The 23,112-nt window shown below is 51.5% G+C and overlaps 2 long non-coding RNA genes across 3 annotated transcripts, besides 10 other annotated features; one reads left to right on the top strand and one right to left on the bottom strand.

The window, feature by feature from the left end:
- Positions 2,003-2,627: an enhancer, noted in NCBI's record as "H3K27ac-H3K4me1 hESC enhancer chr8:142048571-142049195 (GRCh37/hg19 assembly coordinates)". NCBI's record gives its function as "activates a minimal SCP1, AML or CMV promoter by ChIP-STARR-seq in primed H9 embryonic stem cells {active_cell/tissue: H9 hESC(primed)}" and the evidence as "EXISTENCE:reporter gene assay evidence [ECO:0000049][PMID:30033119]".
- Positions 2,628-3,253: an enhancer, noted in NCBI's record as "H3K27ac-H3K4me1 hESC enhancer chr8:142047945-142048570 (GRCh37/hg19 assembly coordinates)". NCBI's record gives its function as "activates a minimal SCP1, AML or CMV promoter by ChIP-STARR-seq in naive H9 embryonic stem cells {active_cell/tissue: H9 hESC(naive)}" and the evidence as "EXISTENCE:reporter gene assay evidence [ECO:0000049][PMID:30033119]".
- Positions 3,062-4,542, top strand: LOC124902030 (uncharacterized). The gene is made up of 2 exons (XR_007061121.1): positions 3,062-3,394; positions 4,195-4,542. It is a non-coding gene; the product is annotated as an uncharacterized LOC124902030 (long non-coding RNA).
- Positions 3,254-3,878: an enhancer, noted in NCBI's record as "H3K27ac-H3K4me1 hESC enhancer chr8:142047320-142047944 (GRCh37/hg19 assembly coordinates)". NCBI's record gives its function as "activates a minimal SCP1, AML or CMV promoter by ChIP-STARR-seq in naive and primed H9 embryonic stem cells {active_cell/tissue: H9 hESC(naive and primed)}" and the evidence as "EXISTENCE:reporter gene assay evidence [ECO:0000049][PMID:30033119]".
- A 3,661-nt stretch (positions 4,543-8,203) lies between the features above and the next one.
- On the bottom strand, positions 8,204-17,554 carry LOC105375783 (uncharacterized). 2 transcript variants are annotated; one of them, XR_007061120.1, is made up of 3 exons: positions 17,470-17,554; positions 12,401-12,583; positions 8,204-8,485 (listed from the first exon to the last, which is right to left on the bottom strand). It is a non-coding gene; the product is annotated as an uncharacterized LOC105375783 (long non-coding RNA). The 2 variants fall into 2 exon arrangements; XR_928708.3 differs by having other exon boundaries at positions 12,401-12,615; positions 17,470-17,552.
- Positions 13,299-14,149: an enhancer, noted in NCBI's record as "H3K27ac-H3K4me1 hESC enhancer chr8:142037049-142037899 (GRCh37/hg19 assembly coordinates)". NCBI's record gives its function as "activates a minimal SCP1, AML or CMV promoter by ChIP-STARR-seq in naive H9 embryonic stem cells {active_cell/tissue: H9 hESC(naive)}" and the evidence as "EXISTENCE:reporter gene assay evidence [ECO:0000049][PMID:30033119]".
- Positions 13,299-15,001: a biological region, named in NCBI's record as "H3K27ac-H3K4me1 hESC enhancers GRCh37_chr8:142036197-142037048 and GRCh37_chr8:142037049-142037899".
- Positions 14,035-14,329: an enhancer, noted in NCBI's record as "tiled region #11335; K562 Activating DNase unmatched - State 5:Enh". NCBI's record gives its function as "activates a minimal TATA promoter and a strong SV40 promoter by Sharpr-MPRA in K562 cells {active_cell/tissue: K562}" and the evidence as "EXISTENCE:reporter gene assay evidence [ECO:0000049][PMID:27701403]".
- Positions 14,150-15,001: an enhancer, noted in NCBI's record as "H3K27ac-H3K4me1 hESC enhancer chr8:142036197-142037048 (GRCh37/hg19 assembly coordinates)". NCBI's record gives its function as "activates a minimal SCP1, AML or CMV promoter by ChIP-STARR-seq in naive H9 embryonic stem cells {active_cell/tissue: H9 hESC(naive)}" and the evidence as "EXISTENCE:reporter gene assay evidence [ECO:0000049][PMID:30033119]".
- Positions 17,449-18,159: an enhancer, noted in NCBI's record as "H3K4me1 hESC enhancer chr8:142033039-142033749 (GRCh37/hg19 assembly coordinates)". NCBI's record gives its function as "activates a minimal SCP1, AML or CMV promoter by ChIP-STARR-seq in naive H9 embryonic stem cells {active_cell/tissue: H9 hESC(naive)}" and the evidence as "EXISTENCE:reporter gene assay evidence [ECO:0000049][PMID:30033119]".
- Positions 18,160-18,870: an enhancer, noted in NCBI's record as "H3K4me1 hESC enhancer chr8:142032328-142033038 (GRCh37/hg19 assembly coordinates)". NCBI's record gives its function as "activates a minimal SCP1, AML or CMV promoter by ChIP-STARR-seq in naive H9 embryonic stem cells {active_cell/tissue: H9 hESC(naive)}" and the evidence as "EXISTENCE:reporter gene assay evidence [ECO:0000049][PMID:30033119]".
- Positions 19,582-20,293: an enhancer, noted in NCBI's record as "H3K4me1 hESC enhancer chr8:142030905-142031616 (GRCh37/hg19 assembly coordinates)". NCBI's record gives its function as "activates a minimal SCP1, AML or CMV promoter by ChIP-STARR-seq in naive H9 embryonic stem cells {active_cell/tissue: H9 hESC(naive)}" and the evidence as "EXISTENCE:reporter gene assay evidence [ECO:0000049][PMID:30033119]".

The following is a 23,112-nucleotide window of genomic DNA, read 5'->3' as shown; positions in this document are numbered from 1 at the left end:
CACAGGCACTCAGGGAGTGTAGACTACACATAGAATGGCCTCACTGAAGGCCGAGGGAGCTGGGGCATTTATCCACCAACTTCTGTCCCTCACTGGTTGAGGGCGCTTCTGGGGGAGTGTGAACCGCTCAGGACTTCCTGCATGCCCTGCCCCAGGGCCTGCCAGCTTCTGCAGCTAGAAAAGGCCTCAGGTGGCCGGGCGCAGTGGCTCACACCTGTAATCCCAGCACTTTGGGAGGCCAAGGCAGGCGGATCACCTGAAGTCAGGCGTTTGAGACCAGCCTGACCAATATGATGAAACCCCATCTCTATTAAAAGTACAAAAATTAGCCGGGCGTGGTGGCATGTGCCTGTAGTCCCAGCTACTCAGGAGGCTGAGACAGGGGAATCGCTTGAACCCAGGAAGCGGAGGTTGCAGTGAGACAAGATTGCGCCATTGCACTCCAGCCTGGGCAACAAGAGTGAAACTCTGTCTCAAAAAAAAAGAAAAGGCCCCAGGCAGAGACAACCCTGCAATAACCTCCTAATCGCCTTCCATCAGGGTACAGGAAGGGCCAAGCAGTGGGAAATCCAGGAGCAGACACTGGTGTTGGGCATGAGAGTGGCATGATTCAGGAGGATGTGTACAGGCAGCTGCTAGCCAGGCACAGGGCTGGCCATAGAGCAGGACTCTTTAGGGGACGGCAAGGGGGCAACCTGGGGGCAAAACTCCAGGCTCAGAGAGGATTTGAGGGATCTGGGTGGAGCCAGCTGGATGGCAGGAGTCGGGAGGGCTGTGTTTTTTCCTGGCCAGGAGACCCGGTGGGTGGGGTGCATTGGAGCAGAGAAGGATGGGCTGTGGGGCCTTGACCAAGCCGAGCACAGATCATGTCCCAAGGGCAGAGCCAGGAGAATCCAGGGCAAGTCCTGAGTGCTAGGATGAGACCCCATATTGGTTAAGACATTTCTCCAAAGAAGATGTGCGAGTGGCCAAAAAACACAAAAAAGATGCTCAGCATCATTAGTCATCAGGGAAATGCAAACCAAATCCACAGTGAGATGCCAGGTCGGGCCCATTAGGAAGGCTACTATCAAAGGAGAAAAGTGAGTGCTGGCTAGGATGTAGGGAAACTGGAATCTCTGCCAGGCCAAGTGGCTCACGCCTGTAATTCCAGAACCTTGGGAGGCTGAGGTGGGTAGATCCCTTGAGCTGAGGAGTTCAAGACCAGCCTGGGCAACATGGTGAGACCCCATCTCTACTAAAAATACAAAAAAGATAGCTGGCCGTAGTGATGCACACCTGTGGTCCCAGCTACTCAGGAGGCTGAGTTGAGAGGCCTGCTTGAGCCTCAGAGGTCGAGGCTGCAGTGAGCTGTGATTGCACCACTGCGCTTGAGCCTGGGTGACAGAGCGAGACCCTGTCTCAAAAAAGAGAAAGAAATTCGAATCTTTGTGCACTGTTGCAGGGAGTGGCAGGTGGTGTGGCTGCTGTGGAAAGCAGTACGGTGGTTCCTCAAAAACTCAAAATAGAACTACCATATGATCCAGCAACCCCGCTTCTTGGTTCATATCCCACAAAACTGAAAAAGGGACTCTCACAGATATTTGCACACCCATGTTCATGGCAGCATAATTCACAATAGCGCAAAGGTGGAAGCAACCCAGGTTTCCATCTACAGATGAATGGATCAACAAAATGTAGAATATATCAAACAAAACATGATTCAGCCTTAAAAAGTATGAAAATTCTGTCCACGCTACCACATGAATGAACCTTGAGGACATTATGCTTTTGAATTAAGCCGGCTAGGAAAGGACAGATGCTGTATGAGTCCACTCACATGAGGTGCCTGGAGGAGTCACATTCTTGGAGACAGAAAGCAGAACAGTGGGTGCCAGGGACTGTGGAGAGGAAGGAAGGGGAGTTAGTGTTTAAAGTGGGGATGGAGTTTCAGTTTGGGAAGATGAAATCGTTCTGGAAATGGATGGTGGCGATGTGCGTACAACACCAGGAATGTACTTAATGCCACTGAAATGTACACCTAAAAATGATGAAGATGGTAAATTTTACGTTACACATATTTTACCACAGTTAAAACAACAACTGTAATTGTTTTATTATTTTTCACAATCCCTGTGGGTGATGAGTTTGGGAAGGGCTTGGTTGGGGATTCTGGTTGGTTCTGGATGGTTCTGGGTGGTTTTGGCTTGAGGTCTTTCATCACACTCTTACCTCCTTGAAGGCAGGAACCAAGTCATAGTTATCTAACTGACTAACTGGCTCTTCCAGCCTGGGGGGCCTCTGGGAGCACTCAGACCCTGGACAGCCAGGCAGCAGAGGGGTTCAGGAGCCCAAGGCCCACTGCCAAGAAGGAAGTGCCAAACAATAGCCCCCAAGAGGCCTGCCACTCTCACAGCCAGATTTGCACTTCCAGGGACAAAGGAGATTTCCTCTGTAGGAAATGATACCTGAGGGAGGGCTTCCTGCGGGAGCAAGCCAAGAAGGGGCTGGGGAGGAGGAGAGCAGCGGGGAAGTGAGCTCTGGATACTCACGTCCCTGGTTCTGGGCACAAAGCCAGCCCACAGGCCACTAAGGGCCTGGCATATTCTACATGAGTCAGGCTCTGAGCCTGGAGGTCAGCGGCCAGGGGATTAGGGTCATGAAAACACTCCTTTAAACCCCGGCTCCCCGTGTACCCGCTGTGTGACATACAGCCCTCTCTGTAAAAGGGGGACAATGATGAATTCAGTGTTCACTGGGCATCTAGGCACTGAGGATAGGATTGCAAGACCCAGACCCAGGCTTGCCCTCAGGTACTTCACTGCCTTCCTAGGGAAAACCAACAAAAATAAACCAGCAGAGGCAAATAAAAACAAAACACCATGAAATCCGAGTGTGGGGTATTTGAAGGTGTTGATTCATCTCACCCCCTCACCTCTGCAATTGGAATTAATTAGGAAACAGAATCAGCAGGTGGTAAGGGCTGAAGTGTCAGCTCCGTGCTGGAAATGTGAAGCTGCTGGAGTTGTTCTGACTCATAACCAGATGGGCTCTTGCTCCTTCCTCCTGAATTAAACATAACCATCCCAGGAAGGGGCCGAGCAGGGCCAAACAGGGGCGGTGCCCACTAGGGGAGAGCTGGCCACGGGGAGCCATCCCAAGGGCCACAGGCAGGCTGGGCTTCCCGGACTCCTCAGACTCCCTCTCCCCAGGGAGTGACGGGGAGGGACCAGTGCTGTTCTGCCCCCACCCGTGGAGTCAGCCTGCCTCCAAGGAAACCCGAGGAGGGGGCAGAGGCGTCCCTATGGCAGTAACAAATGTCCTGAAGGACCCAAATAGAGGCTGAGATCTAGAGTGACGGGCTAGGGCAGGTGGTAACCAAGCCAGGAATGGGACGAGATGCCAGAACCAGCAGGTGGGTGGGTTTCTGGGTGTGTGTGTGTGTGGAGGGGTCTTTTCCAGAAAGATGGACTGCCAAGTGCACAGACAGAGGAGGAGACCCTGGTGAAGTCCCGGCCCAGAGCTCATCTCCATTGCGAGGGGCCTCAGGAAAGGGCGCCTTCCCAGCCGCTTCCCTGTCACCCTCTGCTTGGAGCTTGGAGCCAGGCCAAGGGGGAGGCCAGGAAGAGGAGTGCAGGGGAAACGGGGAGAAGGGGGGAAGACTGAGAACTACTTACTCAGGACCAGTCAGAGGGAGGGAGGGGAAGATGAAGGCTGGAAGCAGAGGGGCAAACGGTGGAGGCTCCACAGGTGGGGGTGAAGCTGGGGTGGAAGATGCGCCTGTCCCCAGGAGCTCTTGGTCTTGCTGCCAACTGACTGGGTGTAGTCGGTGGCTCACTCCGGGAATCCCAGCACTTTGGGAGGCTGAGGCGAGTGGGTCACGGGAGGTCAGGAGTTCGAGACCAGCCTGGTCATCACGGCCCCATCTCTACAAAAAAATACAAAAATTAGCTGGGCATGATGGTGCACGCCTGTAGTCCCAGCCACTTAGGAGGCTGAGGCACGAGAATCATTTGAACCTGCGAGGTGGGCAACAGAGCAAGACTCTTTCTCAAAAAAAAAAAAAAGAGGGAGCACGGGTAGCTGTGGAGTGATGGGTGGGCTCTTTGTAGGGCCCTCCCATCTCTGCAGTTGCAGAGCAGCCAGCTGTCCTCCCAGGTGAGGTGGGGTCCGATCATTGTCCCCATGTGTAACAGTCTGAATTGTGTCCCCCAGGAGATCTGTTCAAGTCCTAACCCCTTGGTTCCTGTAAATGTGACCTTATTTGGAAAAAGGTCTTTGCAGATGCAAGTGAAGGATCTTGAGCTGACATCATCCTGGCTTTAGGGTGAGCCTTAAATCCAATGATCGGCGTCCATATAAGAAGTGGGAAGACAGAGAGGGAAAGCCATGTGAAGGTGGAGGCAGGACAAGCCAAGGAATGCCAGGAGCTGCCAGGAGCCACCAGGAGCAGGAAGAAGTGGGGAGGATCCTGCCCCAGAGCCTTTGGCGGCAGCGGCCCTGCCGGCACCTGGACATTTGGCCTCCAGAACTGGAAGAATAAATTTCTGTTGTTTGAAGACACCCTGTTGGTGGTCATTTGTTACAAGAGCTTTGAAAACAAATATACCACAATAGCCCTTCCACGATCCTGCAAGCCTGCAAGCAGGTGACAGAAACGTAGGTCTCCTTGGCACCCCCATCCCATGGAGCTTGGCCAGCCACGGGGGCAGCATGTGGGAGGAGGCAAGGCAAACATATTCTAAAGGTGGCGCTCACCCTGGCTGGGCTGGAGGCTGATGAAGCTTCAGCCTGTGCTCCTGAGACAGCGGAGGCTCTCCCGGGCCCAGAGACCTGCAGACCTCAAGGGGAAGCAATCTCAGCGAAAGTGCTGCCTGCGGTCCGCGGTCAGGCAAGGAGGAAGTGGTGAGCGCGGCAGGAGCTCAAGGCCGGGACATGGGGGTGTGCCCAGCGAAGCGAACAGCAAAGGTGAATTTGCCGGGATGCTGATAAAGCTTACGTTTCTGCGCCCCCTCTAAAGCCCTGTACCTGCTTTTGTAGTTTTTTCTGGAAGGGGATGCCCCTCAGTTGTATCAGCATCGGATCCCACAAACCCTGGATCCCTCCCTGCTAACACCAGGGCCACAAGAGCACATCGCGCATGCAGAGCCAATTGTGTTGATGTTTTCTCAGGTTTTCTGTTGTCTGACCATCCAGCCAACCAGTTTTTTTATGCAGTCGTTCATCCAGCCCTCTACACAGCCAACCAATCTCCATGATTGAGTCTCTGCCACGGGACATACTCCCTGCTCTCAAGAGACTCATGCTTCGAGGCGGGGGAAAGGGGGCATAAATAAGAAGCAATTAAACTGGCTCTGCCATGAGGAGTGGGGGCAAGAGGTGAGCTGAAGGGAAGAACAGTGGAGGGAATGATTGCCTCAATCTGGAGGTCAGAACCGCCCTACCACGGAGATGACCTGAGTTTTGAAGGATGCGTAGAAGTCACCATCAGACAAGAGGGAGGGCAGCTCAGGCAGGGGAACAGCAGGGGCAAAGGTGTGGGACAGCACTGGGCACTTGGGGACTCACTGTGACTCAGCCTGTGACTCAGCCCTCCTGTGGCACCAGGGCTGCTGGATGGAAAGGGAAGAGCAGGGAAGGCCAGAGCCAGGCAGTGGGGAGCGAGGGCAGGAGGGGAGATGGGAAAGAGGGCCTCACGGAGTGTGCTGGTTTCCTGTGGCTGCCGTAACAAAGCACCATACACATGCGGGCTGAAAACAGCAGAAATGTATTGTTTTAGAGTTCTGGAGACTGAAGCCTGAAATCAAGGTGTTGCAGGGCCAGGCTCTAAGGGCAGAACCTTCCTGCCTCTTCCAGCTTCTGGTTTCAATCTTCAGCGTTCCTTGGCTTTCAGCTGCCCCACTCCAATCTCTGCCTCCAGTGTGGTGTTCCTGTGGGTCTCTCGTACCTCTTCTTATAAAGACACTCAGATAAGTTTAGGCCCCCCAATTGAGCCTAACGCGATTGCATCTACAAAGACCCTATTTCCAAATAAGGTCCTATTCACGGTTACTGGGAGCTGGAGCTTCAACAGATCTTTTGGGAAGACACAATTCAACTCACGACAGGGAGGAAGAATTGCGAGTACTTGCTACTGCTGTGATGCCGTGGAGTGAGCAGAAAGGTGAGGAGTTCCTGGGTTTAGGAGGAAGTTGGGATCCACACATGCTGACGTGGATGGCCCTGGTCAGGAGCTGAGGCCTCTAAGATGAGCTGGGCATGGTCGGTGGCTTACAGGGGCTCCTGGTCAAGCAGGGAGGCAGGAAGGAGCCCAGCCCTGCCAGGCACAGAGATGAGCATGTCTTGGGGACACAGGGCAGGGGCAGAAGTGGCCTGAGGGGGCAGCGCAGGCCCCAGAGAAGTACCTGTAGACTCGAGCCAAAAATGCTGTCATCGTCTCTGACTGATGGCTCCCGGGTGTGCCCATCCAGCCTGGCCTCTCCTGAGCACCTGGCTCCCGTGTGTATCCACCAGCTCAGTCCTCTCTGTCCCATCAAGCTCCGCACACCCTCAGCCAAATCCACCAGCCTCGCTTTCCAAAACAGCTCTTCCTGTCTTCCACCCTGGCCTCTTCAAGAAGGGCCCTCCCCGAAGTCCCTCAACCTGCCCTTGAGGGTGGCCTTCCCACAACTCCCCCAGCCTCCGCCTCCACCTAAGCCTTACTTTCACTTGTTCCCAGGGTCACCCAAAGCTTCCAAGGATTTAGGCAGCAAGTAAAAGAAAACAATCCTTGGTCTGGGCGTGGTGGCTCACGCCTGTAATCCCAGCACTTTTGGAGGCCGAGGCGGGTGGATCACGAGGTCAGGAGATCGAGACCATCCTGGCTAACATGGTGAAACCCCATCTCTACTAAAAATACAAAAAAATTAGCCGGGCGTCGTGGCGGGCGCCTGTAGTCCCAGCTACTCTGGAGGCTGAGGCAGGAGAATAGCGTGAATCCGGGAGGCGGAGCTTGCAGTGAGCCAAGATGGCACTGCACTCCAGCCTGGGTGACAGAGCAAGACTCCATCTCAAAAAAAAAAAGAAAACAATCCTTCCCAGCCAGTCTGCCTCTGCCCGGCCTCCAGCAAGCTCCAAGCTGGTGCGTGTTTTCTCAACTTTCTTTAAAACAAAGGTATAGTTATCCTTTGATATCTGTGGGGGGATTGATTCCAGGACCCCCACAGATACTAAAATCCAAGGATGTTCAAGTTGCTTACATAAATTGGAGTATTACTTGCATACAACCTATGCACATTCTCCCGTACACTTCAAATCATCTCTAGATTACTTATAATACCTAATATAATGAAAATGCTATGGAAATAGTTGTTATACTGTATTTTGAAATTGTGTATTATTTTTATTGTTTTATTGTTATTTTTCATTGTGGATTTTTTTCCCCCAAATATTTTCAATCCACAGTTGGTAGAACCCAACCCACAAATCCCCGCAGATATGGAGGGCCAACAGTAATCGCCGTACCTCCTCCTAAGTTTGTTACAAAGAGTAAGTGAGAAAATACATATGAAGGATTTGGCACAGTTCCTACCAGATGTTATCACTGTTATTATAAGAACAAAAGGAGACCCATGGAAACTCAAGACCCAGAGGGTTAAATTTATTGGGGCCTTTGATGGAACTATTCACAAATCTTTGGCCGGATGTAGTGGATCATGCCTATAATCCCACAAGTTTGGGATACAAAAGCAGGAGGATGGCTTGAGCTCAGGAGTTTGAGGCCAGGCAACATGCCAAAACCCTGTCTCTACAAAAAATTAAAAATTAGCCGGGCATGATAGTGCACGCCTATAGTCCCAGCTACTAGGGAGGCTGAGGCAGGAGGATGGCTTGAGCCCAGGAGGTCGAGGCTGCAGTGAGCCATGTTTGCACCACTGCACTCCAGCCTGGGTGACAGGGGAAGACCCTGTCTCAAAAAAAGCAAAAAAAATATATATATATATACACACAATGTTTTGCCTTGGGGAAGGTAAACTTCTAAAAGATTGTTGGACTTGAAAATGGAAGCATAGATATAAACTAACTGGGCCGTTTTTTCTATGGAGAGCTCCTCCCCTATGGACGGTCTAAATTTCCTATTACTGAAATCTACCATGCCCACTCACTCAAACCTAGTCCCCCCTTTTTCTTCATTGTGTCATCATCTCAGTCACATTGGGGCAGAAAAATGCACACTTTAAAGGGATTTCACATGTGCCCAATGTTTATTCTTATGTCACTTAAATGTCGCCTCTGCTATGTACAAAAGCCTGGTTGAGATGAGCACTTAGAACGGGCAACATTTGGAGGGTTTGGCCTCACAGATGGTCAACACTCTGGGTTGGCAAATTCCAGTCTGGCTTTCTTTGCTGTTGTCACGGAGTTGCTGTTGCCATGGCATTTGTGTGTGTGAGGGAGACGATCCTGCATCTCGTCAGCTTCTGGAACACTCACCCAGAGCCTCGGAACAAGGTGGTGGGAAGACTGTCTGCAGAGAGAATAAAGGAGCGTGGGAAGGAGTCGTTCTGGGCTCTCGCACCCTGTGTTAATAGCAGCTGGGGAAGAGGAAGGGGTGCCTCTGTCATCTCTAAACCAGAAGAGATGGATTGAGGCATCGTGCAAATGTGGACAAGGGTGACGGCAAGGCATGCTGGGGTCTCAGCAGCACAGGCCAGTGAGGCAGGGGATGTCAGATGGAGGGCCTTCTACTGGCTTTGTGCCTGCCCCTCCCCTGCATCAGCCAGCTCCCCATTCAACAGCCCAGGTCACATTTTGAAAAGATAAATTGCATCATTCCACTGTTCAAAACGCCTCGGTGGCCTCCAGTCACCCTCAAAATAGAATCTGAGCTCCCTTCTTGGCCTACAGAGCACCACGTGATCTGAACTCCACTTCTGAGCTTTCCTTGATTCTTTCCTCTGGCTTCCCTCATGGCCCTCCACCGCGGTGGAGCTTCCTTCTGCTGTCCCTCACATTTGGCAGGTTCATTTCCTCCTCAGGGCCTTTGCACGGGCAGTTTCTTTCTGGAAGGCTATTTGTTCAGGTTTTCACAGGAGGGCTTCTCCTTGTCATTCAGATCTCAGGTCCAATGTCACCTCTCAGAGAGCGCCTCACCCCATGTGAAATGCACAAGTACAGATCACGCCTCAGACCCACTACATTTTCTTCATGTCACTCAGAGCTATGATCTGTTACTTGTTTGTTGCCTGTCTCTCCTAATAGAACAAAAGCCCAGTGAGGGCAGAGGTTTGCCTGTTTCCCAAGAACCTAAATCAGTGTATGGCACATAGAGAAGCCAGCATTTGTTGATGGATTCTGAATGAATAAGTGACCAGCAGCATTGGAACCCATGGTCTCCTTTCCTCAAAGCCAGTGCCCTTAACCCTGGAATAAATGAGGTGCAAAGCCTGGGAAGGCACTTCTCAGCCCCCTGAGGAGGGGCAGACAATACCACAGAAGTCCTCAGCCACAGACACCATTCCAAGGAGACTCTATTTCTAAGGATCGGTTCTTTGATGGTTAGTTGGTTAAAAACATCACACTGTGTCAAATGAAAAGAGACTCATCTAGAATCCTGCTATGGTCTGAATGTGTCCCCCCGAAAGCATGTGTTGGAAACTTAATCCTCGAGGCAACAGTTTTGGGAGGTGGGGCCTAATGGGAGGTGTTTCGGTTACAAAGGCTCTATTCTCATTAATAGATCAATGCCAGATCTAAAAGGACTTGAGGCTGTGAGTTCCATCTCTTGTTCTCTCTCACCCTCTTGCCTTCCACCATGGGGTGATACAAGAATGCCCTCGACAGATGCTAGCACTTTGATACTGGATTTCCCACCCTCCAAAGCTGAAAAATAAATTTCTTTCCTTTATAAATTATGCAGTCTGTGGTATTCTGTTATAGCCACATAAAATGGATTATGACAAATCCTGATCTTGTTCTTGACAGTAGATCCCAAATTGTAAGCTTCTCCCCGTAACAGACCATCAGATGGTCTGTTATTCCTGAGATCTGATCCTTGTCATTCAGATCTCAGGTCCAATGTCACCATCCCCATCGCTTCCTCATTATATGCCCAGCAAATGTGTAACTTGGTGCCTGACTGCACCTGCTCCTGTTCCCCTGTCACGCTTCTCCACTGCCCAGACTTTGGAGCTTAGGTTCTGGCCATGTCTCATGTCAACACTAGGCTGCCTGGACCCTGGAGAGCTGGGGCATCCTGTAGACAGAACCCCAAATCTACAGAAGCTGGTCTGTTTACACTGGGGGTGCTCAAACGAGGGCTGGGATCCAGGAAGCTGTACTTTAACATGCAACCCAGATGCCTCATTCAGGTGAGCAAAACTGCCATCGCCCCAAGCAGCACCACTCACCTGCTGGCCACAGAAAAGCTTAGAAAGTGGATGGGGTTCCAAGCAGAGGACCAGCTTCCCAGAAACTGATAATGGAAAACAGAAAGTACAAAACCATGCCAGGGGAGGAGAGGGTGGAGGTGTCTGCTCAGATCCAAGGATTGGATGCGGAGTGGAAAATTCCAGAAAAGGGGAGATGAGGTGGCAGAAAGGGTGGGGCAAGGAAGGAAGAGAGGGTCCAGGATGGAGCTGTCTGTACTGGATAGGAGTGTCTCAGCTAAAGCTATGCACCAGGAAGACGTAAATTCTCATGCTTAGAGGTGTACCCATTTCTTCCATGCCTCCGGTTTACCAGCTGCCATGCTAATTCCTTCACCTGTGTCGTCTCATTCAACCCTTGCATCACTGCTGAGAGATCAGTGTTATTGCTAATCCTATCTACTAGACAGGAAAACTGAAGAGCAGAGGGTAAACAATATGTCTAAGGGTTCCTAAGGGAGTAAATGTGAGAGTCAAGATTCCACTCCACGTCCATCCGATTTACAAATTCATGCAATTCACAGGTTTTCTTCTCACTCCCCATCCCAACAAATAATGCCACCAGGAGACAAGAATGAACAAGACAAGATTCCCACCTTCAAGGAATCATGGATCCAGCACTGGTGGCAGGGCACATACCCAGAAATATAGAGGACATGTGAGATTGCAGGGGCAGGACAGTGTCTGGCCTGGGCTGTGCCCTTCAGCTTCCAAGACAAAGTGCCCGTGAGGCAGATGAAGTCCACGTGCAGGTTGCTCAGGGACCGCCTCCACTCCACGGGTGCTCAGATCAAGGCCGCAGATGGCTGATTTACTCGAACAGCCTGCTGGGCTTTGCAATCTGGCTTCCCCAACATTGTGCTCGGTTCTAGAAACTGCAGCCCACAGACAGCAAGGTCACTTGGCTCATGGATGCGCTGCCCCAGCTGGACCTTGTATCCCCGGGCCGTGGGCTGCGAGACAGGGAGAGGGTCGGCGGCTCAGGGCAGCGAGCCTTGGTGGTGGCGTCACCACAGAGACACTGGGGGACACCTGGGGCAGCAGCGGTGACCTGCAGAAGGGACAGAATGGCTCCCGGGCAATCCTCGGCCCCACCACACCAGACTCACAGGTGCTTGGCTGTCTCATGATGTGAGCAGCTTGCCCTGGCTTTGAGGGGAATCTGAAGAGCCTGACCCTGGAGCTTTCTTTTGAACCTCCCGGGTTCAAGCGATTCTCCTGCCTCCACCTCCCAAGTAGCTGGGATTACAAGTGCACACCACCACGCCCAGCTAATTTTTTTTTTTTTAGTAGAGACAAGGTTTCGCCATTTGGGCCAGGCTGGCCTTGAACTCCTGACCTCAGGTGATCCACCCACCTCGGCCTCCTAAAGTGCTGGGATAGAGGCGTGAGCCACCATGCCAGCCTGGAGCTTTCTTTTTAAATACAGAACAAAATCTTGGCTGGAGGCCCTTTACTGCTGAGCTTGCATATTTATCTGTGTGTAAATCAAACCCAACAAGACCACCAGTGAAGTGTAACTGTGACATCTGACGTGAAGGAAGGACGCACTTTCCATCAACCGCTCATGCCTCCTTGTTCTTGTTGCCTCCACATGATGCGGATGACTAAACAGGTCACTGGAGCTGCCATTTAATTTGCGAGGAAAACATTAACTCCACCTTTTTACTTTTCAGCTCTAAAAGACAAGCATTTATATCCCGATTCAGATCAAATGTGTAAAAGTCTCTTCCTGGTCTCAGAATTCATTTCTTTGTTTCTCAGAGATCACAGTTATGGCCCTTCTATGTGCAGGCTTCTGTGCAAAGTGCTGGGAAGCGTTTAAATGAAGGGAAAGCAAGGAATGCTTGGATGACCTCATCATCAAATATTAATAGCAATCATGTAATGAGTTTCTATTAGGCATCATCTTTATTTCATGTAATCCTCTTAAGAACTTTATAGTAACATGCATTTGGCTGCAGATAACAGAAAACCCAACCCTCTGGCTTAACCAAGAGGAGATCATTTCTTACCTAACAAGTTCTCCAGAGATCAGCATTCCAGGACTGGTGTAGTGACTCAACAACCTTGTGAGAGACCGGACCCAGATTCTTACTGCCTTTCCATTCTGCCGTCTGTGGTGTGCTGGCTTTTGTTATCATGCTGGTTGCTTTGAGGTCACAAGATGACAACTCCATCTCCAACCCCAGCTTCATCTGATAAATAAGAACAATGTCCACAGGCACCACTAGCAGCAAAGAGATTTTGGAGGAGCATGTCAGGTGGGCACATTACCATCCCACACAAAATTAGGATGTGTTGGTAGTGAAGAAGGGGAGAATGGACCCTGGGAGAGAAACCAGCAGTTTCAGCCGAACTATACGATGGATATGATCTTCCTCTTACAAATGAAGCTCAGTGGCTGGGGGCGGTGGCTCACGCCTGTAATCCCAGCACTTTGGGAGGCCGAGGCAGGTGGATCACAAGGTCAGGAGTTCGAGACCAGCCTGGCCAATATGGTGGAACCCCGTCATTACTAAAAATACAAAAATTAGCTGGGTGTGGTGGTGGGTGCCTATAGTCCCAGCTGCTCCGGAGGCTGAGGCAGAAGAATCTCTTGAACCCGGGAGGCGGAGGTTGCAGTGAACTGAGATCGGGCTACTGCACTCCAGCCTGAGCCACAGAGCGAGACTCCATCTCAAAAAAAAAAAAAATTTTCTAGTCAGTTTCTACTACTGTCTTGAAGCTACTCTAAATGGCGTCCAGGAAATAAATATTACTGATTTAAGACTGTGCCTCTAATAAATGAATGAATATATATTTAACAACCTGCCTGCAATACTGGCCTCACAGACTTTTACATAGCTGGCTCATTCTTGTCATTCTGGGCTTTGCTCAAAAGTTATCTTTTCAAAGAGGCCTTTCCTGACCTCCACTGAGTCCCTCACCATTACAAGGTTCTATTTTGTTTTCTTATAGCACGTTGTAGTGTCTGAAATGATCTACACACTCTCCATTAGTATGTATGTAACACGTATGTATCTCCACAACCAGTTCAGTTCCTGGATCATTGTAGGCACTAATAATATTGGATGCATAAATTAATGAATTGATATGTTCTCAAATCATGGTAAGGTTTCAGAGCAGGTCAGTTGCAGAGAGATTTGCCCACTCCTTTGTGACCCCAGGAAAGTCACCTAGCACAATGCCCTAACCTAGTCTGTAAAATGAGCATAGTGATAATTATCCAGAGACGGTAGCTTGAAAGCATCTACAGAGTCCTGGCACCGGGCTCAGCCAGCCCATTCTTCCTTTACTGGGAGAAGCCGAGTCAGCTGAGCCATGGTATTGCTTCACTCTGGGGGTACCCACAGTTCCCAGCAATGGTGGAGCATCTGAAGGCACCAAGATGGGCAGTGAGGTTGACAGGGGCCATGGGATGGAATCAGTGAGGGGCTTGCCTGGGGGAGAGGGGCTGGGAGGTGAGTTGGGGCTAGGTCTCCCCAACCTGTTCCCTGTCCTCCCTCCTGGCCTTGTCTCCCTCTGCTGCTCTGTGCTTACTGGGTCCCCCGTGTTGCCAGGATCTGGGCCAGGACTGAGACACAGGAGAGCTAGGAGACTCCTGGCAAGGACAGGAAGCATGGTAGAGGCCCTGGGCCTGGCTCATCCTGGGCTGTCTTGCCCCCTGTGGGCAGCAGGCCTTCTTTGATTCAGTGCTTTGTGGTGACTCAGCGTCTCTCCATCTCCCCCCAGAGCTCCTGCTGCCATCAGCCAGCTCAGAGCTTAGGCTTACTCACAACTGGGTTTCCAACACCTCCTGCTTACTCAGGTTTTCCTCTCACTTACTCATAACCTTATCTCTCCCATGGCCGTCCTGGCTCCTGCTGCCTCAGGGCTTGCTGTGTTTCCTTTTAGCTCCAGCTCCCACCACCAACTCTGGATTCTTTCCACATCTCCCAGTCCCAGTGAATGAGACAGATCAGCTGGCCAGTTGTCCTGGCTTGGGCAGCTTCTCAGGTGCAGCCAGGTCGACAGCATGACCAGCCCACGAGCTCGTCTCTGAGGGTGAGCTGCTCACTCCACTTTGGTGGGGTCTGGGGCCATCTGCTTGAGGAGCACCTAAGATAGTTTCCCTTGGAAGGGAAGGCATTTGCGGGCCGCACCATGGATGTGTCTGGTACATCCCCTCTAACCTGCCTGATGCTGTAATCAACACCTTGATCTCCCACAAGCACCCCTTGCCTGCCCAGCCTCTCAGCACCTCTGCCCATTTGCCACCTTCTGCCTGGAGTGCGCTGCTGCTCTGCCATCCCAGCTCAGATGCCACCTCCTCAGTGGGATCCTCCCAGACCACCACAGTCAAATGGCACCTTTCCCTTCTTAGGGCCACTACATCCCTTTGTCCTGCTTCTTTGGGAGTATCTCATGACACTTTGACTTGTAATCATTTGTGTAATGGTCCCCCAAAGATGTCTGCACCCTAATCCTTCTGCCCTGTGAATATGTGTCCTTACGTGGCAAAAGGGACTTTGCAGATGTGATTAAATTATGGATCTTGAGATGGGAATATCACCCCAGAATATCTAGTGGGCCCAATATAACCAAATGGGTTTTTTGGTTTCTTTTTATTTGTTTGTTTGTTTTTGAGACGGAGTCTTGCTCTGTCACCCAGGCTGGAGTGCAGTGGCGCGATCTTGGCTCACTGCAAGCTCCGCCTCCCAGGTTCACGCCATTCTCCTGCCTCAGCCTCTGGAGTAGCTGGGACTACAGGCGGCCGCCACTATGCCTGGCTAATTTTTTTTTTTGTATGTTTAGTAGAGATGGGGTTTCACTATATTAGCCAGGATAGTCTTGATCTCCTGACCTCATGATCCACCCGCCTCGGCCTCCCAAAGTGCTGGGATTACAGATGTGAAACACTGCGCCCAGCCTGGTTTTTGTTTTTTATTGAGACAGAGTCTCGCTCTGTCGCCCAGGCTGGAGTGCAGTGGCACAATTTTGGCTCACTGGAACCTCCGCCACCTGGGTTCAATTCTCATGCCTCAGCTTCCCGAGTACCTGGGACTACAGGTGCCCACCACCACACCAGGCTAATTTTTTTGTACTTTGAGTAGAGACGAGGTTTCACCATGTTGGCCAGGCTGGTCTCGAACTCCTGACCTCAGGTGATCCACCCACCTCGGCCTCCCAAAGTACTGAAATTACAGGTGTGAACCACCACTCACGGCCTCAAAAGGGTTCTTCCAAGAGGGAGGCAAGAAGGTCAGAGTCAGAAAAGGAGGTGCAGTGACATGCAGAGGTTGGAGTGATTCATTCTGAAGGTGGAAGAAGGAGCCACGAGCCAAGGAATATGGGCAACCTCTGGGAGCTGGGGAAAGCAAGGCAACAGATTCTTGCCTGGAGCCTCTGGAAGGAACACAGCCCGGGCAACACGTTGGTTTTAGCCCATGAGACCCATATTGGACTTCTGGCCTCCAGAACTGTAGGACAAGGAATTTGAGTTGTTTTAAGCCTCTGAGTTTGTGGTAATTTGTTACAGCAGCAATGGGAAACATACAATTAGCTTATGTAGAATTGTTCCTATACTAGAATATTGGCTTCTTCAAGGAAGGGGCTGCGTCTTACACATCTTTGCACATCTTTGTACACATTTTAAAAATATCTACTGATCACATTATTCTGTTAGCTATTAACTGTATCAACCATTCATTCAGCACCCTTTTTCTACCTTGCTCTGAGCTTCTCCCACTAGAACAGTGTTGGGAGGAAACATTTTCTAGAGGACGGGAAAACATCTTCCCTGGACCATCAGCATCAGTCCATCCCTCCATACCTTTTGGTGTGTGTGTGTGTGTGTGTGTGTGTGTGTGTGTGTGTGTTTAGGGACAGGGTCTCTGTCACCCAGGCTGGAATACAATGGCACAATTATAGCTCACTGCAGCCTCAAACTCCTGGACTCAAGCAATCCACCCATGTCAGCCTCCCAAAGCACTGGCACGAGCCACCACACCTGGCCCATATTTTTATGATAGCATAAAACAATTCTTTTTACCATACAATTCTCATGTATTGTAAGGAAATTTTATAAAATTTCAAGGAATATCTTGCTTCAAGCAAGTCATTTTGGCCTCCATTTCAGGCCACGGGACAAGGTTTGAGAACTAGCCAAAAGATAAGATCTAAACTTTTGCGGCTTGCGTGCCAAGGCCATGCAATCTAAACCTGTCCCCTCCAGAGTCCTCAGTGGCCTTCCCTGACACAAAGCCTCTGCACTTGGCCTGTCCAATGCCAGGATTCTACCAACATCAAAACAGTTCCATGTTAGCAAATGTTTTCCCTCCAGCCTAGGGAGACTTTTCCAGCCCTGGGCCAGCCCTGCTCCTTCTGAAAGATTCGGCACAGTTGCCATATCCCCTAGGAAATGCCCTCCTGCAAGCAGAGGTCAATGGATGGTGGCTCCAAGCAGAGGCTGAGAATGTTGATGGTTTGAGCTATACCATCTCTATGCCAAACTGTTGCCCCATGGAGAAGCAAGAGGCCTCAGAAGAGCTCTCCCCTTCTGCTGTGGACAGTACCGAGCAGAGTTTAAGGTTGTGGCTTCTCAATATTGTCCCAGCCACATGGTGCCAGCTACAAAATTTGTGGAACTCAATGCAAAGCAAAAATGTGGCACTCCTTGGCTGGGCGCAGTGGCTCACACCTGTAATCCCAGCACTTTGGGAGGCTGAGGCAGGCAGATCACTTGAGATCAGGAGTTCAAGACCAGCCTGGCCAACACGGCAAAATCCCATCTCTACTAAAAATACAAAAATTAGCTGGGTGTGGTGGTGGGTGCCTGTAATCCCAGCTACTCAGGTGGCTGAGGCAGGAGAATTGCTTGAATCTGGGAGATGGATTCAGTGAGCTGAGATCACACCACTGCACTCCAGCCTGGGAGACAGAGTGAGATCCTGTCTCAAAATAAAAAGGAAGTGTGACACTCCAGTAGGAGGGGGAAAGGGGAAAAATGGAAACTATCTCCCCTTGCATGGTCATCACCCCAACCCATGGTGAAGGACAACCCCCAAAAGATGCACCCTCAGTACCCAGACATGTTTGGTACCTGGCTCAGAGGTAGGTGCCATGCTGCTGCCAGCCAAGGATGGGGACAGCCACTGCGGTGCCCCACCCCAGACACTGTGGGAGGCAGTGTTGCCACCACTACAGGTGAGCATAGGAAGAATGAGCTGGGCATGCCCAGGGCACCGGGACTAACACAGGGAGACAGGGAGGGGACGGGGTGGGGCCATGTGTGAGCTGAGGCTCCAAGCCCCGGTGTGTGCTCCATTTTCTTATCAGACTTTGCTTCCACAACACAGATTCAAGGATACAATTATTAAGAATTTCAAGTTGGTGACTGCAGAGGGTTAACCCCCAATCACAGGTCCCCCTTCTGAACATGAGGCCTTCTGTGACTGCAGTGGTCACATGCTCCAGAAGCCAGTCCTACAGGCACACTCTGCTCCATCTGCCAGACACAGCAGCCTGGGCCTGGCCGCCCACTTCCCGCAGACGTGGCCCTGCCCATCCGTCAGGATGGCAGCTCTGGGTCAGGCCCCAGCCAGTCTCCAGCAGTGCTCACAATAGTCTCTGGGAGGGCTTGTCCAGCACATTCTGGGCGGCCAGCATTTTCTTGGGCCATAATGGCCCCAAGAAAACAACCGAGAAGTCCAGGCCCTTGTCAGAAATACTTCTTTTTTTTTTTGTCTGTTGTTTTCCTGAGAGGGAGTCTCACTCTGTTGCCCAGGCTAGAGTACGGTGGCGTCATCTTGGCTCACTGCCACCTCTGCCTCCTGGGTTCAAGTGATTCTCATGCGTCAGCCTCCCAAGTAGCGGGGATTACAGACATGCGCCACCACGCCCAGCTAATTTTTGTATTTTTAGTAGAGATGGGGTTTCACCATGTTGGCCAGGCTGGTCTCGAACTCCTGACCTCCAGTGATCTGCTTGCCTTGGCCTCCCAAAGTGCTGAGATGACAGGCATGAGACACCACGCCCGGCCAGAAATACTTCTCTTATCCCCTACCCCATCGGCCTGATGCCATGCCACCCCACACACCAGGTCCCCAGCTGCACCCTTCACACTGACAAGAATCTCAACAGAGAGCTGTTCACGTGCCCGCAGGCCCCCTCCCCAGATGGAGAAACCAGTTCAGAGCTTCAAGGCGACACAGCTGGAGAGAGGGTGAGCTGGGCCACACCCTGAGCTGGAGCTGTCAGACCTGGAAAGCTGTGCTGCTATCGGGCCCTTCCCCCGTCTCGGCATTTGCAAGGCCAGGCCCAGCTTCCTTCCTGGATGAGCTGTTGCTATTTTCCCCCCTGCCATATGTACCTGTTCACTGAATTTACATTAACTATTCAAGAGCAAAATGAGCACGTGCTTCTGAATAGCTAGCACATCTCCATGTGCCTAAGACTGCTCTTCCGACACAGTTTCCTGTAAGGCAGGCAGCAGTCCTGGGCCCACTGCTCAGCCTTTGCCTCCCTGTCTTTGGTTAGTAGCTACATTTCCCCCCTTTCCTCTTTTGGTATGTTTCCCTGTGCTTATTAGATTTCTTCGCAGTGGCTCATGTATTTTCATGTCCAGTTAGTAATTTCTGCCTCCAGGAGGGCTGACCAGGACGGAGCCGCCCCCACACTCCCTGCAGCCTCTCGGGCCTTACCCGTCCTGCCGGTGGTCACCCTGATCTGCACTGATGGGAGGGCCAGACGAGCCCCAGAGCTCCAGGAAGCACAAACTCCTTATCTATTTCCTCCCAGCCATTGTTTTGTCTTAAAATAGGAGTACAACACTAATATATTTTGCAGGCCGGCGTGCTTGGTGGATGGAGTAAATGTTACGGAATGCACTGACAGGGGCCATGGGAGGGCTGCAGCAGTGGGAAAGACAGGGACTTCGGAGCTGTGTTACCTGGGTTCCAAACCTGGCTCTGCACCTATCAGCTGTGGGCTCCTGGGCCAGTTACCCAATCTGGGCCTCAGTGTTCTCATCTGTAAAATGGAAGTAACAGGAGTAACTACCTCATAGGGTTGCTGGGAAGTTTAAATGGGTTAAGACTGGTAAAGCAATCGCAATGGGGCCTGGCACATAGAAGTGTTATACAAGCGTTTGCTAGATAATTGACACTTTCCTCCTTCCCTTTTGCGATCTGGACCAAATGAGAAGGAAATTGGAGATCTGAAGATCAGCTTTATCACCGTTTGGGCTGAATTTGAGAAGAAGGCTTGACTCACAGCCACACTCATACACCCCCATAAGAATTCAGCATGCCTCCTGCTGCAGGCTTGCTGGGGATTGTTGTGGAAGCTCCCTGTGTCCCCCTCACCCTCCACCAAGGCTGGCAACCTGAGGACAGGGCAGGCTGGTAAGGGAAAGGGCCGATGGGGCTGAGCATGCCCAGTGCCGACGCCCAGTCTCAGGGTTCCCAGATCAGACAAGCTGGTCCCCCAAAAAGATGGCACAGGAGAGGTCAGAGCAATGCTCCCCTTCGCTCACACTTGGGAGTTTGAGAACAGTTGGGGAGCATTCCCATCTACCGAGGACTACTAACGATGGTCACGTATCAAACACCCGCTGTGAATGGCACACATGGGTCTTGTTGCTCTTCATAACAGTTCTACCAGGAAGCACCACCCTTCTAATTCTTCAGACAAAGCCATCAAGACTCACAAAAGTTAGGTGACTTGCCCAAGGTCACACACAAGGAAACAGCAGAGCTAAGATGGCTGTCTGATACTTTTTTTTTTTTTTTTTCGAGAGGGAGTCTCACTCTGTTGCCCAGGCCCACCCCCTCCTGGGTTCAAGCGATTCTCCTGCCTCAGCCTCCCAAGTAGCAGGGATTACAGGCGTGCGCCACAACGCCTGGCTAATTTTTGTATTTTTAGTAGAGACGGGGTTTCGCCATGTTGTCCAGGCTGGTCTCAAACCCCTGACCTCAGGTGATCGACCCACCTTGGCCTCCCAAGGTGCTGGGATTACAGGCGTGAGCCATGGCACCCTGCCAGCTGCCTGGAGTTCTAAGACGTGTGCTCTCCCCCACCCCACCCTAACCCTGGTTCCACGTGAGTAAAGTGCGGATTCACCATCGTTCTGGGAAGAGAAAGCAGAGTTTGGTAACAGGCAGTGAGTACTGTCCCTTTCCTGTGGGAGAGAAAACGCTCTGGGCATTGACGCTCTGTCCAGGATCGAGACACGACGTGGTGAAGGTGGTGGCGCACACCCGCCGTCTCTTCTCTTAAACGTGTCCCAGCAGCGGCTGGGGAGCGGGTGTCCTTACGGGGCTACACATGGGCTTCTAAGGGGGCGTGGCAGATGAGAGAGACAGAGACCCTACCACTGAGTCCCGCGGGCCCAGGCTCCCAGGTTCTGCCTCTGAGACCCAGGCATGACATGGCGTGACTGTCGCTGTCCTAAGGGGAGTACCAGAAAGAGCAGGAACAGAGAGTAAGGACCTCTGGAATCTCTCAGGGACACGTCGTGACTCACCAGGTGGACAGGCTCAGAGCAGGCACGCCGAGCAGTAGGGCCAGCACACAGAAGGCCTGAGAGGAGGGATCAGTCATGTGATTTGGGTGCAAGCAACAGAAACGAACTCTGGCTGACTTTAGCTCAAAAGGGATGCCTTGGACAGATGTAGATAGGTTAGCTCTCACAGTGAAAGGGAGGGCCAAGAACTAGGCTTCAGGTAGCCCAGGAACTAGGGCAGCCCTGCGTGGGTGGCCTTTGCCTGGTGGGCCTGGCTTCTTCACCTTTTCGGAGGTGATGAGGAGCCACCGAGGGTCTGAACAGGAGTTTGTGCTCTTGGAGCATGGCTTGTGGGGAGCAAGAGGCCATTCTGGGAAACTATTACCATAACACCCAACAGAAGGGAAGAAAGCCTGACCTAGAACAGCACCGATAAAGAAGGAGATCATGGGGGGATGGGCTAGAAAAGATTGAGGAGGTAGAATGGACAGGGACTGGTAGCTGATTGGAAGAAGGGAATGGGGGCAGAGAGAAGAGCTGGGGGAGGTTCTGGGTGGGGGTACAGGTTCCAGGAGCAGGAGCAGCCTGGTGGAAGAGGGGAGGCCTTCTCTTTGGGGTATGTTGAGCATGTTGAGCTTGAGACACCAGCTGGACCTCTGGGTCTGGAACTCTGGGCAGAGATGTGGCCCAAGGTCCAGATTTGGGAGCCATCAGGGCAGGGTGACCAAGGAGACTGCATGAGAATCATCAGAAGTGCAGGAAGCCCAGAAGGAGGGGAGAAAAGCTGGGCCTGGGGCCACGCCCTCATCACTCCTTGCCCCTCGAGGCCCGGCACCTCCTCAGTCCTGACCCCTGAAGCTCACACTGTGGTCTGCACAGGCCTCTGGGCTCTGCTGGCACCTGGTGAATGCTCTACTGGAGCCTAAGTGACCTCTGCTTCTTTGCTCTTCCAGGGCATGCAGCCTAGCACTCAGCCTATAGTAGGTGCTCAGTGAATACCTGTACCTGGACTTAATTGGAGGGAGACAGCAGGGTGCAGTAGGTGCTATCTGTATGCCAGAACTCATGCATCTTCAGGGATGACCTGGAGGGTGGTGTCCACAGCTGGGCACGCTTTCTGCCTCCCAACCCTTTAAGGCAAACAACTATGTTTATTTGAACAAGAAACCTCGACTTGGCATATCCGTGAACAGAAAGGGAATATAGGCTGACACATCCCTTCCAGCTCTCAAATCCTATGTTCTTTTGAGAAATACAAACAAATCCACACATTTCAGTACAGGCCACCCACTCCCACCAAAGGAGGATTCCGAAGGGTGATGAGTACACAGTGTTCTGGCTGGGTTTGAGATCAAATTCTTGCCTTACAACCCCTCATTCACCGGCACCTTGTGCCTGCCATGATCCTAACTCAGCATCCTTTGATCCCAACACCCTTGTCAAGGGTGCCTTGGCCAGGCCTGCTTCTCACAGAATGATCTGGGGCTCTGGTCTCATCTACATGAAATCTCAGCTGGTTCGTAACACCAAGTGCCTTGCAATTTGTTTGTCTTCAAAATCTGCTGGCTACTATAAGTCACTCTGTTGGAGGCAGGGAATTTTCCCAAAGCGTTGTGTTAAAACAGGCAAAATGATTTATTTGCTGAGCACCCACTGCCAGCTTTGCACTTCTTGTGCAAACAAGGCTTCATCCTTGCCCACGGAGAGAGCTGTCGGTGGGGACCGCTAATGGCCTGTCACAGGCTAAATGTCACCCTTTTGTGAGTTCATAGTTGACAGACCAGGAAAGTGAGGCTGAAGAGGGCAAACCGGCTTATGACTCCCAGCTCTGTATTCTTGTATTCTTTCCTCCAAGGCAAAGAAAAGCCTGCGATGGCTTTTCACCAAAAACCAGAGAGCTGCTGCTTTTCCTGTCTCTGAGGCATAGATTGCATTTCCACCCCACTGAGTCACCTGGGTTTTTTCTAGGTGGAGATGGCAATTACCAACCATGGCAAACCCAGAGTTACTAGGCCCCTGGTGGAGGTGGTTCTGGGCTGCAAACAAGTCTCAATTTTAGAAAGCTTAAGTCCTTCTTATCCTAAGGAGTTTACAGGTTAGGCAAGTCAAGAAATATAAAACAGCGGGGTGCAGCAGCTCACGTCTGTAATCCCAGCGCTTTGGGAGGCTGAGGTGGAAGGATCACTTGAGGCCAGGAGTTTGATACCAGCCTGGCCAACATAGTGAAACCCTGTCTCTACT

Source organism: Homo sapiens, chromosome 8, assembly GCF_000001405.40.
Source record: "Homo sapiens chromosome 8, GRCh38.p14 Primary Assembly".
Taxonomy (NCBI): Eukaryota; Metazoa; Chordata; class Mammalia; order Primates; family Hominidae; genus Homo; species Homo sapiens.
The sequence above is the reverse complement of the archived record's forward strand: the minus strand, read 5'-3'. Positions and strand labels throughout refer to the sequence as shown.